The sequence below is a fragment of the Homo sapiens genome, chromosome 2 (assembly GCF_000001405.40).
Source record: "Homo sapiens chromosome 2, GRCh38.p14 Primary Assembly".
NCBI lineage: Eukaryota > Metazoa > Chordata > Mammalia > Primates > Hominidae > Homo > Homo sapiens.
Genome location: NC_000002.12, coordinates 43,839,238 through 43,852,133, shown reverse-complemented (window position 1 = coordinate 43,852,133; position 12,896 = coordinate 43,839,238). Strand labels below are relative to the sequence as shown.

General features: G+C 48.0%; 1 protein-coding gene and 1 long non-coding RNA gene across 3 annotated transcripts in view, besides 1 other annotated feature; one reads left to right on the top strand and one right to left on the bottom strand.

Annotated features, from left to right (window-relative positions):
* ABCG8 (ATP binding cassette subfamily G member 8) overlaps positions 1-12,896 on the bottom strand; it is a 44,018-nt gene that overhangs the window by 30,855 nt on the left and 267 nt on the right. For both annotated transcript variants that reach the window (NM_022437.3, NM_001357321.2), the window contains exons 2-4: positions 7,526-7,627; positions 5,823-5,979; positions 312-550 (exon numbers count right to left, since the gene is read on the bottom strand). In NM_022437.3, the coding sequence (NP_071882.1) occupies positions 312-550; positions 5,823-5,979; positions 7,526-7,627 (498 nt within the window). The remainder of the gene's footprint in view (positions 1-311; positions 551-5,822; positions 5,980-7,525; positions 7,628-12,896) is intronic.
* Positions 3,679-3,728: a silencer, noted in NCBI's record as "silent region_11428". NCBI's record gives its function as "represses an Ori minimal core promoter by ATAC-STARR-seq in GM12878 lymphoblastoid cells {active_cell/tissue: GM12878}" and the evidence as "EXISTENCE:reporter gene assay evidence [ECO:0000049][PMID:35858748]".
* LOC102725159 (uncharacterized) lies at positions 7,614-8,347 on the top strand. Its single transcript, XR_940032.4, has 2 exons — positions 7,614-7,705; positions 8,033-8,347. It is a non-coding gene; the product is annotated as an uncharacterized LOC102725159 (long non-coding RNA).

Sequence of the window (12,896 nt, the reverse complement as noted above, 5' to 3'; positions counted from 1 at the left end):
ACGTGGCAGTGTATTGGGGACCATGGCTCTCTACCCACATGGAGGCCCAGAAAACACACAAACAAATACACTCATCCCACATCTTGACAAGTGCAGTGAAGGGAACCAATGGGCTGAGCTAGCTTCTGGCGGGCTGTGGGGTTTGAAAGGAGGGTGGAGGGTGGGCTGCAGCCCAGGGCTGGCGGAAGGCAAGCTGAGTTGTTCAAACTCGACCTGCGGCTGGGTCCTGAGGCAAGGCAGCAGGGGAGGAGCGGGGCATGGACACTGTAGCTTCTTGGACCTGGGGGTCACCACTGGGGCCAGTTAGTTACCCTTTTGTCACGCTGGGCCTGGGAGAAGGTTCTGGGCAGCCGCATCTGGGCAATGAAGGCCAAGGTCTCTCGCACAGTCAAGTTGGGGAGCAGCTGGTTGTGCTGGCGCACGTGGGCCACACACTTCCTCACCAGCTGAGGCGAGCTGGGCTGCCCATTGATCCAGATCTGGCCTGACTTGATCTTGCCGCCGTGACCTCGGCCAGTGATCACATCTAGCAAGGAGGCTCTCCCACAACCTGCAAAGCCACCAGGGATATCCCTGAGAGCGGAGCTTCTGTGGGGGCCAGGCTGTCAGCCACTGCTCCCCATACACTCTCCAGGACCCCGGACTACTCTGTCCGTGCAGATGTGACCAGCCCCTAGAGAGGTGGCATAGTCCCTGGACCTAGATGGGGTGGGCCCAGGACATGGAGCTCCAAGCCTTCTGTCTGCAGCCAACGTGAGCACCCCTGTGGGGCTGCAAGGCATGATGGCGCTGGGGGTTCAGGCCAGGCCAGCCAGTGGTGGCCTGACAGGAGAAAGCTAGAGTCCTAGATGCCACAGGGCCAGCTGGTGCCTGGAGCATTTGTCCCCTCCTGCCACCCACCAAGGCCCTTTCTCCCCAAGGCAGGCTGGTGTTAACATAACTATTTTTGGCTGGCAAACATGCCAGCAATGTCTCATTATTCAATGTCGGTTGGCTCAGAAGCTGGCTTTGTGAGGACTAATTTGGAGCATTTATAGAGCGTCTTTTAAACATGCAAAACCAAATCTATTTTGAGAAATAATGGAGAAAAAAATAGAGAAATAATAGAAGTGGAAACAATTTAAAACTACAGCACAGTGTACATATATGTTCTGACTGTATCTACACCCATCTCTCTTCTTTTCATCAGTGGTACTTTTACTTTTTCTTTTTTTTTTTTTTTTTGAGACAGAGTCCCACTCTGCTGCCCAGGCTGGAGTGCAATGGTGTGATCTCAGCTCACTGCAATCTCTGCCTCCCGAGTTCAAGCAATTCTCCCTGCCTCAGCCTCCTGAGTAGCTGGGATTACAGGCGCTACCATGCCCGGCTAATTTTTGTATTTTTAGTAGAGACAGGGTTTCGCCATGTTGGCGAGGCTGGTCTTGAACTCCTGACCTCAGGTGATCTACCCGCCTGGGCCTCCCAAAGTGCATCAGTGGTATTTTTAATACTCTTTTTTAAAAAAGGATTCACCTAACTGAGGGTGGAGGATGGGAGGAGGGAGAGCAGGAAAAAACACTTGGGTACAAAGCTTACTACCTGGGTGATTAAATAATCTGTACAACAAAACCCCGTGACACTAGTTTACCTATATAACAAACCTACTTGTGCATCCCCAAACCTAAAATAAAAGTTAAAAAAAGATTCATTGCACTCAAGTTAACAGCACCCTCTTCTGAATGATGTACTAATTATTATTGATTTGAGAAAGTAAGCATCAGATTGGATCCAGTTTCCAAAAACTTTCGGTGAGCCTCTGTCTGTGACAGCTGTTCAAGCTATGAATGCGGATTGGGCTCAGGCTCAGAACATCTTCCTACCGTGGAGCTAGGAATGAGCTCTTTCCACTCCCGCAGATGGAGTGTTTTCTGCTTGTTTGCTTGTTTGTTTTGGAGATGGGGTCTCCCTCTGTGGCCCAGGCTGGAGCACTGCAGCCTCTACCATCCAGGTTCAAGAGATTCCCCTGCCTCAGCCTCCTGAGTAGCTGGGATTACAGGCACCTGCCACCATGCCTGCCACCACACCCGCCACCACACCCAGCTAATTTTTGTATTTTTAGCAGCGACGGGGTTTCACCATGTTGGCCAGGCTGGTCTCGAACCCCTGACCTCAGGTGATCCGCCTGCCTCGGCCTCCCAAAGTGCTGGGATGACAGACGTGAGCCACCGTGCCCGGCCCCAGATGGAGTTTTGATCTCCAAAAACCAAGAAGCTTCTTCACATGATCTTTCTGGTTACTGTGCAGAGGCTCTCAGGGTAGAAGGGGCCTGTGCACCACCTCTGGGTGTACCTCATTTAAGATCCCTGAGAACATGAGTGGAACAAAATAGCCAGGAGAGAAACCTGGGAGAGAAGCTTCAGAGCCAGGCTCCAGGGACACAGAGGACTTCACCAACATTCACAGGGACCACGGATTCCCACTCAGAAAGCAGGAAGGCCACGTTTTCTGAGCAAAACTTTGTGAGAGCGGTGGGGAGCCTTCCAATGGAGGATGCCTGTGGCATCTGGGGAGACTCTCTGATATGGTTTGGCTCTGTGTCCCCACCCGAATCTCATCCGAAATTGTAATCCCCACGTGTCGAGGGAGGGATCTGGTGGGAGGTGATTGGATCATAAAGGTAGATTTCCTCTATGCTGTTCTCATGATAGTGAGTGAGTTTAAAAAGTTTACACTCTTATGGTTTAAAAGTTTTTGGCAGTTCCTCCCCTCATTCTTCTCTCCTGCCACCATGTAAGATGTACCTTGCTTCCCCTTTGCCTTCCACCATGATTGTAAGTTTCCTGAGGCCTCCCCAGCCATGAGGAACTCTGAGTCAATTAAACCTCTTTTCTTTATAAGTTACCCAGTCTCAGGTAGTTCTTTAGAGCAGTGTGAAAACGGACTAATACACCTTCCATGAACTAAGACAAAACACCCACTGGCATTCAAGACCCTTATTCAATGGCTGGAATCTCCAAATCAATAAACTCATCAATTGGAAACCACTTTTGGCATTGCTGAGAGTATAAAAGAAACTAAAATGCCTAGGGCTGCTTTCTTTTCTTTTCCTTTTTTTTTTTTTTTTTTTTTTTTTAGACAGTGTTTTGCTCTTGCTGCCCAGGCTGGAGTGCAATGGTGCAATCTCAGCTCACTGCAACCTCCACCTCCAGGGTTCAAGCGATTCTCCCACATCAGCCTCCCAAGTAGCTGGGATTACAGGCACGTGCCACCACGCCCAGCTAATTTTTTGTATTTTTTTTTTAGTAGAGACAGGGTTTCACCATGTTGGCCAGGCTGGTCTCGAACTCCTGACCTCAGGTGATCCACTTGCCTCAGCCTCCCAAAGTGCTGGGATTACAGGCATGAGCCACCGTGCCCAGCCTGGCTGTTTTCTTTGTATTTTAAAAATTATGGCCAGCGTTCTTTTGTGTGTATGTTGGGCAGGGGGAGAGGGGGATGGCAGTAAAAGTCACAGGAAGTGTAGTTGATGAACCTTTCTAATAAATCATTTTAATAATTTCAGCTGCTCAGTTAAACTAAATTTGGCCTGAGGCTGCCTGCATACTTTGAGTTCCCACAGAGCAAACTGCAAGCAAACTTAGTATGTAAACAAACTGCAACTTATCTTAGCAGTATATTCTCTTAAGACAGAGACTGGCTGAGACAAGTTGCTGAGTCTCAGCCAATCATGGCAGCCAAGCATCAGCCAATCACAGGCTACCGACTGATGAGCTCCTGTCCATACCCAACACCTGATCACATCACCCTCAAATAAATAAGGTGAACACCCAACTGTAACCAATCAGCTATTTCTGTAGGGCACTTCCTTTTTCTGTCTATAAATACTGCCTGACCAAATTGCTTGGGGGAGCCTCTGAACTGGTCCTGTTTTTGAGTGCTGCCAGATTCATTAATCACTATTTGCTCAGACAACTCTACTATTTATTTGTCTAAAGTTGTTTGTTGTTGTTTTGTTTTTTGTTTTTGTTTTTTTTACACAGGCAAGTAAACCTGAAGCCAAACAACACTGAATCTATAAACAACCAGGAGATGCTCGGTGCAGTGACTCATGCCTGTAATCCCAGCACTTTGAGAGGCCAAGGCAAGCAGATCACCTGAGGCCAGGAGTTGGAGATCAGCCTGGCCACCATGGCAAAACCATATCTCTACAAAAAATACAAAAAAAAATGAGCCAGGCATAGTGGCACCCACCTGTAATCCCAGCTACTTGGGAGGCTGAGACATGAGACTCGCTTGAACCCAGGAGGAGCGGGTTGCAGTGAGCCGAGATCACACCACTGCAATCCAGCCTAGGCAACAGAGAGAGACTGCCTCAAAAAAACAAAACAACAACAACAAAAAAAACAAAACAGGAGACTATTCAGTGTAATTTATTCATTCCTTTCTAAGAGACGGGATCGTGCTCTGTTGCCCAGGCTGGAGTGCAGTGGCGCGATCTCGACTCACTGCAAGCTCCACCTCCCAGGTTCACGCCATTCTCCTGCCTCAACCTCCCAAGTAGCTGGGACTACAGGCACCCACCACGACACCCAGCTAATTTTTTGTATTTTTAGTAGAGACGGGGTTTCACCGTGATAGCCAGGACGGTCTCGATCTCCTGACCTCGTGATCTGCCCGCCTCGGCCTCCCAAAGTGCTAGGATTACAGGTATGAGCCACTGTGCCTGGCCGGGATCTACTTTTTTCTTATTTAGGTCAGGATTGCAGGGACAGGGACAGAGTGAGAGGGACTTCATGACTGTGATGCTGTTTCAGTTACAAAGTGCATTTATACATAAGATTTCATTTGATCTTTGGTTATACGGTAAACAGAACTTATCTACCAGACGGGTGTAAAAGTTTGGAGCAGAATGTTTAAAAAATTGAGTAATCTCTACCTCTGGAAATGATTAATTAAAAGATATAAAATGCTCTCTCCAGCACTATGTAAGGGTGTCCCAGGGAGAAATGTCTTGATCCGAGAATGATGAAACCAAAGTTCTAGTTCTAGCTCTGCATTAAATATGTGTCCTTACGAGAATCCCTCAATTTCTTTGGATTTGAGTCTCCTCATCTGTCAAATGGAGGGGAGTGTGTGTGTGTGTGTGTGTGTGTGTGTGTGTGTGCACGCGCGCGTGCAGGAGGATACTCTAGACACACTGAGGAGTAGGGAGTTTGAACACCTTCCTCTGAAAATGCTTCCAAACTGGTAGGGAGAAAGAAAGGTGGAACATGATGAGAATGACCTCTGTTCCCCAAGCCCCCTTTCAGCTCAGACATTCTCTCATTTTAAATTTGGCCATGGAAATGACAATTTGAGGCACTCCAAGAACCTGGCTCTTTGCAGATGAGTGAAAGTTGTGCTAAGTAAGACACTGGAGAGGCTGTCTGAGAGGTGAGAGTGTGGCAGGGGCTGTCTGGCCATAATCAGAATGTGATTGTGGAGGAACAACCTGAACCAATGCCCCTCATGGCTGGAGGAGTCTGAAAAGAACATTACATGCTGGAGCTGTTTGCTGATCTCTCCGTCCAGGTGTTAGCCAAAGTCAGATGCTCTGGCCACAGCCTCGGGTGGACAAGAGGCGCACTCATGACTCTTAACAACAGCACCTACCCTCAAGCCAGCAAATGGAGGAGCCAGGATTTGAGCCCAGGTCTGTCTGACCCAGAACCTGTGTTCTCAGCCATTCTGCTGTATTATTCTACTAGTCAGCAAAGAGCTCCATAAGAAGCATCCATTTGTCCAAAGGACCATTCTGTATCCCAGGAGAGAAACCATTGCCCAGCGATTTGCCTTTCCGGTACCTGAGCTCCCTATGATGGCCAGCATCTGCCCACTTCTCACTTTGAAGCTTAGGTTCTGGATGCCCAGCTCACAAGAATTCTGGCAGCTGGGAGATGTCCAGGGCATCTTGAACTGAGCCAGCTGCTCAAACCAAGGGACCTGAGAGGCCAGGTCCACCTGTGGGGAGATATCAGAAGGTTCCTTAGAGAGCTGAATGGTTCAGAGGGCTTCAGCAACTTCTGTTCAGCATCTTCGTTCCCCAGGTGGCCCCTCTCCACAGAGGATATGTCCTCACCTACACACAATAGGCCCCAACCCAGGTTCTACCAAACACGGAAGCAGGACCCATGCTGAGAACCTGTAGCTGCTGTTTCTAGGTCTGAAGATAAGAAGAATGAAAAGCATGTACAGGCCAGGCATGGTGGCTCATGCCTGTAATCTCAGCACTTTGGAAGGCTGAGGCAGGTGGATCACCTGAGGTCAGGAGTTTGAGACCAGCCTGGCCAACATGGTAAAACCCCGCCTCTACTAAAAATACAAAAATTAGCCAGGCATGGTGGTGGTTGCCTGTAATCCCAGCTACTTGGGAGGCTGAGGCAGGAGAATCACTTGAATTTGGGAGGCAGAGATTGCAGTCAGCCAAGATTGCACCACTGCATCCCAGCCTGGGTGACAGAATGAGACTCCATCTCAAAAAAAAAAGTAAGGAAAAAAGAAAATCATGTGCAATAGTGGTACAGAAATAAAAATAAAACACGAAGCAAAATGTCTTCACTTGATACTAGTAATTTACTAATAATTTATCAGATGTTTACTATGTGCAAGACATTGTGTTAATCACTTAACATCCATCACCTTATTCAATCCTCACTGCAAATCTATAACATAGATATGCTCAGAATCCTTGTTTTACAGATGAGGCTCAGGGCAGTTAAGCAACTTGCTCAAGGTCACACAGCTGGTAAGTGGCAGAGCAGAGAAAGGCTCATTGGCTTGTCCCAACTCACACCCACAGGAAGCCAGACTCAGGCCTCTGAAGTTCACCATCCCAGACCCCACCATGTCCCATCTGGGTCCCTGGGGAGCTGTGGGAATATGGATCCTTGAATCTGACCAGGGGGTTCCTGGGTGCCTCTGAAAGGTCAGTCATTGTCTTTGCACTCTGGATGTTTTATAAGCTCCAGGGATAGTACATTTTACAAAAAAAAAATTATATATATATATATATATATACACACACACACACACACATATATATATAACTAATGAAATCTGAATAAAGTCTGTAGTTAATAGCATTGTACATTGTTCATTTCTTAGTGTTCATAATTATACTATGGGTATGCAAGATGTTAACATTAGGGGAAGCTGGACAATGGGTATATGGAAACACTGTGTTATTTTTGCAATTTTTTCCAAAATCTAAAGTTATTTCAAAATATAGTTTAAAAAGAGTCCCAGAGACATTTTTCTATAGGTTCACGCATTTTGTTTTATGTTTATACAACAGTTTTATTCTCTTTTCAAGCCTCTCAACCTCCAGCTCTGATATATGCCATTGATGACACCTATTGCACCTGACACGTGAGGCATCAATGTGGACTGGACTCTGTCCTTGCGGGCAGAGGGCCTGCAAGTTGGGCCCACCCTTTTATTTCCACCCGGGGAATTTCCTGGCTGTCCCTGCCTGCTCCTCTCCCCTTGAACCCAGGCGTGCCTCTACCTGGTAGTTGAGGTCTCTGACCTCCAGGGTGTTGGGCTGGCCACTGTAGGTGAAGTACAGGCTGTTGTCACTTTCAGAGGAGAACAATCTATCCTGGAGGCCCTGTGGGAGACAGGAGAGATGAGGGGCTCCTTTAGAAGCTGCTGAGAACATAGGAGAAGACAAGAAGGAAACCAACAGGTGAGAGCAACTTCTTAGAGCCGACGTGGTTAAATCTCAAATTGGCAACAGATGGGATTGCACAGGTGGAACCTCAGGGCTTTGGGAAAATAGGAGTGCTGACAAGGGCCCATCTCCTCTTCCCTTCAGAGAGAGGTTTGGGGCTTCTCCCGGGGCACCTTCCCAGAGAACCTCAACCTCAGGCTGGTGGAGCCTGAAGCCAAGCAGCTTCTGGTAAAGAGACCCAGACTCTGGACCGGAGAGAGTTCTATAAAAAAACCTCTGTGCTCTGAGAAGACCTGACTGGAGTGGGCAAACTCTTTGCCTTTAACTTTCTCTTCCCTGCAGCTGGCTTAATATCTCCTGAGGCCAAACAGACATGACACTTGCAGCATGTGAGAGGGAAGCAGCTGTTGAGAGTTAATGCCCAATATTCATGAAGATACCACCCTGAGAAAAATTCTAACCAACATCTTAGTCCTCACTAACATCTGGCATACTTCTCCTCATATCTGATTTTGATGAAGAGTTCATGCAACAAAGTGATGGAAAATGCTGCTGGGAGCTTTGAGAGGAAGTCCCTCTCATCATCATCATCATGTTGTTGTTATTGTCGAAGTGGTGGTATATTTGAATGTACATTAAAAAATCAATGTTTCATGGTGTCGGCTGATACCTTTGAATGGTATTAACCATCTGCAGATCTCAATTCCTCCTATTTTGACAATTCAATCATTTAAACCATTGAGGCCCAAACAAAGAAGCAACAGGAAGTCCCCCATCATTTCTTTTTCTTTGGATTGGGTCTCGCTCTATCACCCAGGATGGAGTGCAGTGACATGATCACAGCTCACTGCATCCTCAACCTCTCAGGCTCAAGCAATCCTCCCACCTCAGCCTCCCCACCACACCCAGCTAATTTTTGTATTTTTTGTAGAGACAGGGTTTCACCATGTTGGTCTCAAACTCCTGGGCTCAAGTGATCCACCCACCTCAGCATCCCAAAGTGCTGTGATTACAAGGGTGAACCACCTCGTCTGACCTCCATTTTTTACTGCATTCAATTTTTCTTACATTTCTGTCAGGCAGGAACAAGTACACTTTCATTAACAAGTTCCCATAGACTTTCCTCCTCAAGCTACCATTCTCACACTATACATTCCTTCAATCAACCATGCACCCAACAAACACTTATGGGGAGCCCAGAACACCCTTCAGGCTTGGAATTTGGGATGTGACAATGAAAAGGCCGTTGAAAAGCTTAGATTTTGGCAGATGAGACAGGTGATTACGATGGAGCGAGACAGACCAGGCAGAGAGGGAGGCTGACCTCAAGCATCTGACCAGGGTTTATTTTCACTATGTACACAATGCACGCACATGCTGTAGGTGAAACTAACATGACTTATGCCTTACGTGAAAATAACAAATAACATACAGCAGTCTTCTTGTCAAAGTACCCCTGCAATGATGGGGGCCAGAAGTTCTCGGAAAGAACATTCCAGGTCAGTGGAGGTGGAGGGAAAGAAATTCGGTGACAGTATGCCGCAGGCGTGCTGTGGGGAACCCTTAGAGTTCTGGGAGAGTATGAAAAACAGCAGACGAAAGTGACTTCCATTGCTTAATGTTTGAATTATCACCATAAAGACCCAAAATTATACAGAAAAAAATGGGAAAGATAAACACCTAATTCAGGAGAGGGGTTATCTCTGGGGAGCGGGGAGAGATGAAAGGAGAAAGGGGACACAGTAGGAGTGCGGGGATCAAGCTTCAAAGCTTTTGGTAATTGGTGGTGTGTACATGAGAGTTCTTTAAGCTGATTTGTGTACGATATTTCACAATATGTTGTCAAATTGAGAGAGCAAGCCAGTGAGTAGAACTCCAGAGTTCCATTCCCACCTCAACCCCAGTTGCCAAAGCCCCCAAGCAGGAGGGAGGTTGAGGGAGAGGAGGTAAGAAGGTCTGTGCCCCAAGCTCCTGAGGAGATTGAAAGCAGCTCGGACAGATGCTGGACTCCTGGCAGATCAGCCCTTCGGCCTTGCCCCTCACTCGCCCTCTCCGCTGTCACTGTGCACATTGCTTCATTGTCCCATTTTTGTTGTTGTTGTTGAATCATCAAAAAATCTTAGCCATTGCCAGCTGTGCGCAGTGGCTCATGCCTGTAATCCCAGCACTTTGGGAAGCTGAGGAGGGCAGATCACCTGAGGCCAGGAGTTCAAGACCAGCTTGGCCAAAACAGTGAAACCCTGTCTCTACTAAAAATACAAAAAAAAATTGCCGGGCATGGTGGCACACCCCTATAGTCCCAGCTACCCTACTCAAGAGGTTGAGGCAGGAGAATCACTTGAACCGGCAGGTGGAGGTGCAGGGAGCCGAGATCGTGCCTCTGCACTCCAGCCTGGGCCACAGCGTGAGACTCTGTCAAAAAAAAAAAAATCTTATCCATTTCTAAGAGACTCATGTGGGCTAACATGCATCTTGCTGTTGTTGTTTTTAAAACAAATATCTGCAGGAGGGATATTAGACAATGTAAATGAGCTGAGAAATTACTTCTGCTGGCCAAAACATCCCCAGGTCGGATTTAGGCATGGAGGAGGCGCTGAGGAAGGAAGGTCAGACATTTGGAGTCTGGAGCAATGTGTGGAGGTAACCTGCAGCCCAACTGGGTTCCACTGTGTGGTGCTTTGAGAAGGGGAGGGAGCTGGCAGACAGAGGAGGCAGAGCAGAAACTGGGTAAGAGGAAGGGGAGAGGTGCCTGGTTGCTTGTTCCAAGGCTCACCCCAAGCCCCTTCACTGTGGCCTGGGAAGGCAGGTGTGGGCCAGCCCTGACTCCAACCACCATTGAGGGATTGTGCCTTCCAGGAGTTGCACAGGCAGCTCATCTTTCGGAGGAAGAAAATTCGTGCCTGGGTTGGGGACGACCTCTGTTCCATTTTAAAATATTTTCCTTGGCTCCCAGGAAGGATTTGTTAGACTCTTCCTGAGGTTTTGACAAACTCTCTGTATTTTTCAAATACTTAAGTATCTATTCGGCTGACATCTTAATCAGTACGACTGTCAGAACATCACTTGAATTTCTGACAGGTGACACCCAAAAAAGCAAAAGCAGGTTTATTTGTAGGTAACCAGCTCTGCTCATGCTGGGCTACATTGTAATTTCTCCTCGTATTAACTTCTGATCAAATTCCTGAGTCAGATGCCTAGGCAAGAAGGAAACTCACAGAGCACATGTTTCTAGTTCTGAGATGAGGAGCCTATGCCCCGGGGGGAGTGATGTGCTGACACTCACGGCTGGAGGGTTGGCAAGAGGACACGCAGGACTTGTTCCTGGCTGAAGAAATTTTATCGAAACATTCAGCCTAGGTCACACACAGCTCTGCCTGCTGCCAGGGTTTCTCTTGTCCTTCTCTGTTGCTGCTCCTGCCCATGGCATGAGGAGTTTGTGGGTTAAGGGCACTTGCCACTCCAGGTGCCCAAGATGCCAGATATTCTCTGTGCAAATGGCCCCAAGTCCATCCCCAGGGTCTGTACACCTCTTCCCAGGCCCAACCTCCTGAGGACTTTTAGGCCAGAGAAGTATATGTCTGTGCAGGGCAGGGCTGCAATGCAGGTAGGCAGGAGGGTGACCATCCAGGGTGTTGAGGGCCCCATGGAGTGGGATGGAGCTGAGGGGGCCAGAAAAGGGGGACAGGTTGTGGCTCGGGCTGGAAGTGGCTCCCCCGTACCAGCGCATTCTAGCCAAGTTGCCTTAGAATTTCTCAATTTACACATGGCCTTTCAGGTTGTGAGGAAGATATGTCAAGATAAGAGGATAGAAACTATTTTATTTAACTGTTCTTATAGCTTGACTGATGACTTTTATATATCTAGACATAGGAAATGTGACCCTCATCCTCTTGTTCCAAGACCCACAGGTGTTACGGGCAGACCGTCACTCAGCACCTGGAGTGACAGGATCGGACAGAAGGGAAGCAGAAATGGCAGGGCCTGCGTGCATTTCTGGTGTGGTCCTAGCATTTCTTTGCCTCTCAAGCTGTGGTGGCTGAATCGTCAGCCCTCCCAGGCAGGAAGTGTTCCCAAAGTCCCGCTGACTTTCTATTCTATTCAGGCTTTAAACATTTCCCGAAGTGGTGGGCCCCACAGGGTATTCAGAGAGCAGAGCTGGTCAGATGTGGTGGTTGCAGAACTGACTAGAAATGGTGGGCTCCTTGGGTCTGGCCGAGTCAAGTCCTGGAAACTCAAGGCCAGTCCAGGTTGTTTTCCCCATTGGGTGTGGAATCCTCGATCATGCTTGTCTTTCTCTCCTCCCTCCTACCCACAACAGGCAAAGATGGAAAGGTAGGATGGGGTGAGGTGGTGGGAGTGGGGATCTGCTTCTCGCTTGTCTTCCAGTTTAGCCTCCTGCTTCAAATCCTGCCACATCCCGAATTCAGTCAAAGGCTATTTCTTGAGTAAACACTTCTCAGGTAAAATGAGGAAGGAAACATACCTCCACCTCCTGCCACCTGGCTGCTTCTACTCCTTCCAGCTTTCTCGCAGAACTTACGATTGCCTGTTAGAGCCACACATGCTGATGTTCCCACAAAAGCCGTCTGTCACCCTGTCTCACCCATCACTTCATTACTGAGACCAACCTGACAGCCACATGGATGGAGGAGACACCAGTGGAGTCCCTGGCATGTGTGAGCACATTTCTATGATGGAGTCTCATTCGGAAAAAGCGAAACTGGCCAGGCACGGTGGCTCATGCCTGTAATCCCAGCACTTTGGGAGGCCGAGGAGGGTGGGTAACCTGAGGTCAGGAGTTTGAGCCTGACCAACATGGTGAAACACTGTCTCTACTAAAAAATACAAAATTTGCCAGGTGTGGTGGCAGGTGCCTGTAATCTCAGCTACTTGGGAGGCTGAGGCAGGAGAATCACTTGAACCTAGGAGGCAGAGCTTGCAGTGAGCCGAGATCACGCCACTGCACTCCAGCCTGGGCAACAGAGCGAGACTCCGTCTCAAAAAAAAAAAAAAAAAAAAAAAAAAAAAAAAAAAAAAAAAGAGAAGAAAAGAAAAAAGAAAAAGTGAAATTGTCCCACATCACACAAAAGAACATCATTTCCCTAAAAGAGCATTTCTTAGGGCAGGAAGTGACCTCAGAGGCCTCTGGGACCCTGAATCTGTTCCCCTCCGCCCTTTGACATGCAGGAAACAGTCCTGCGGCCAT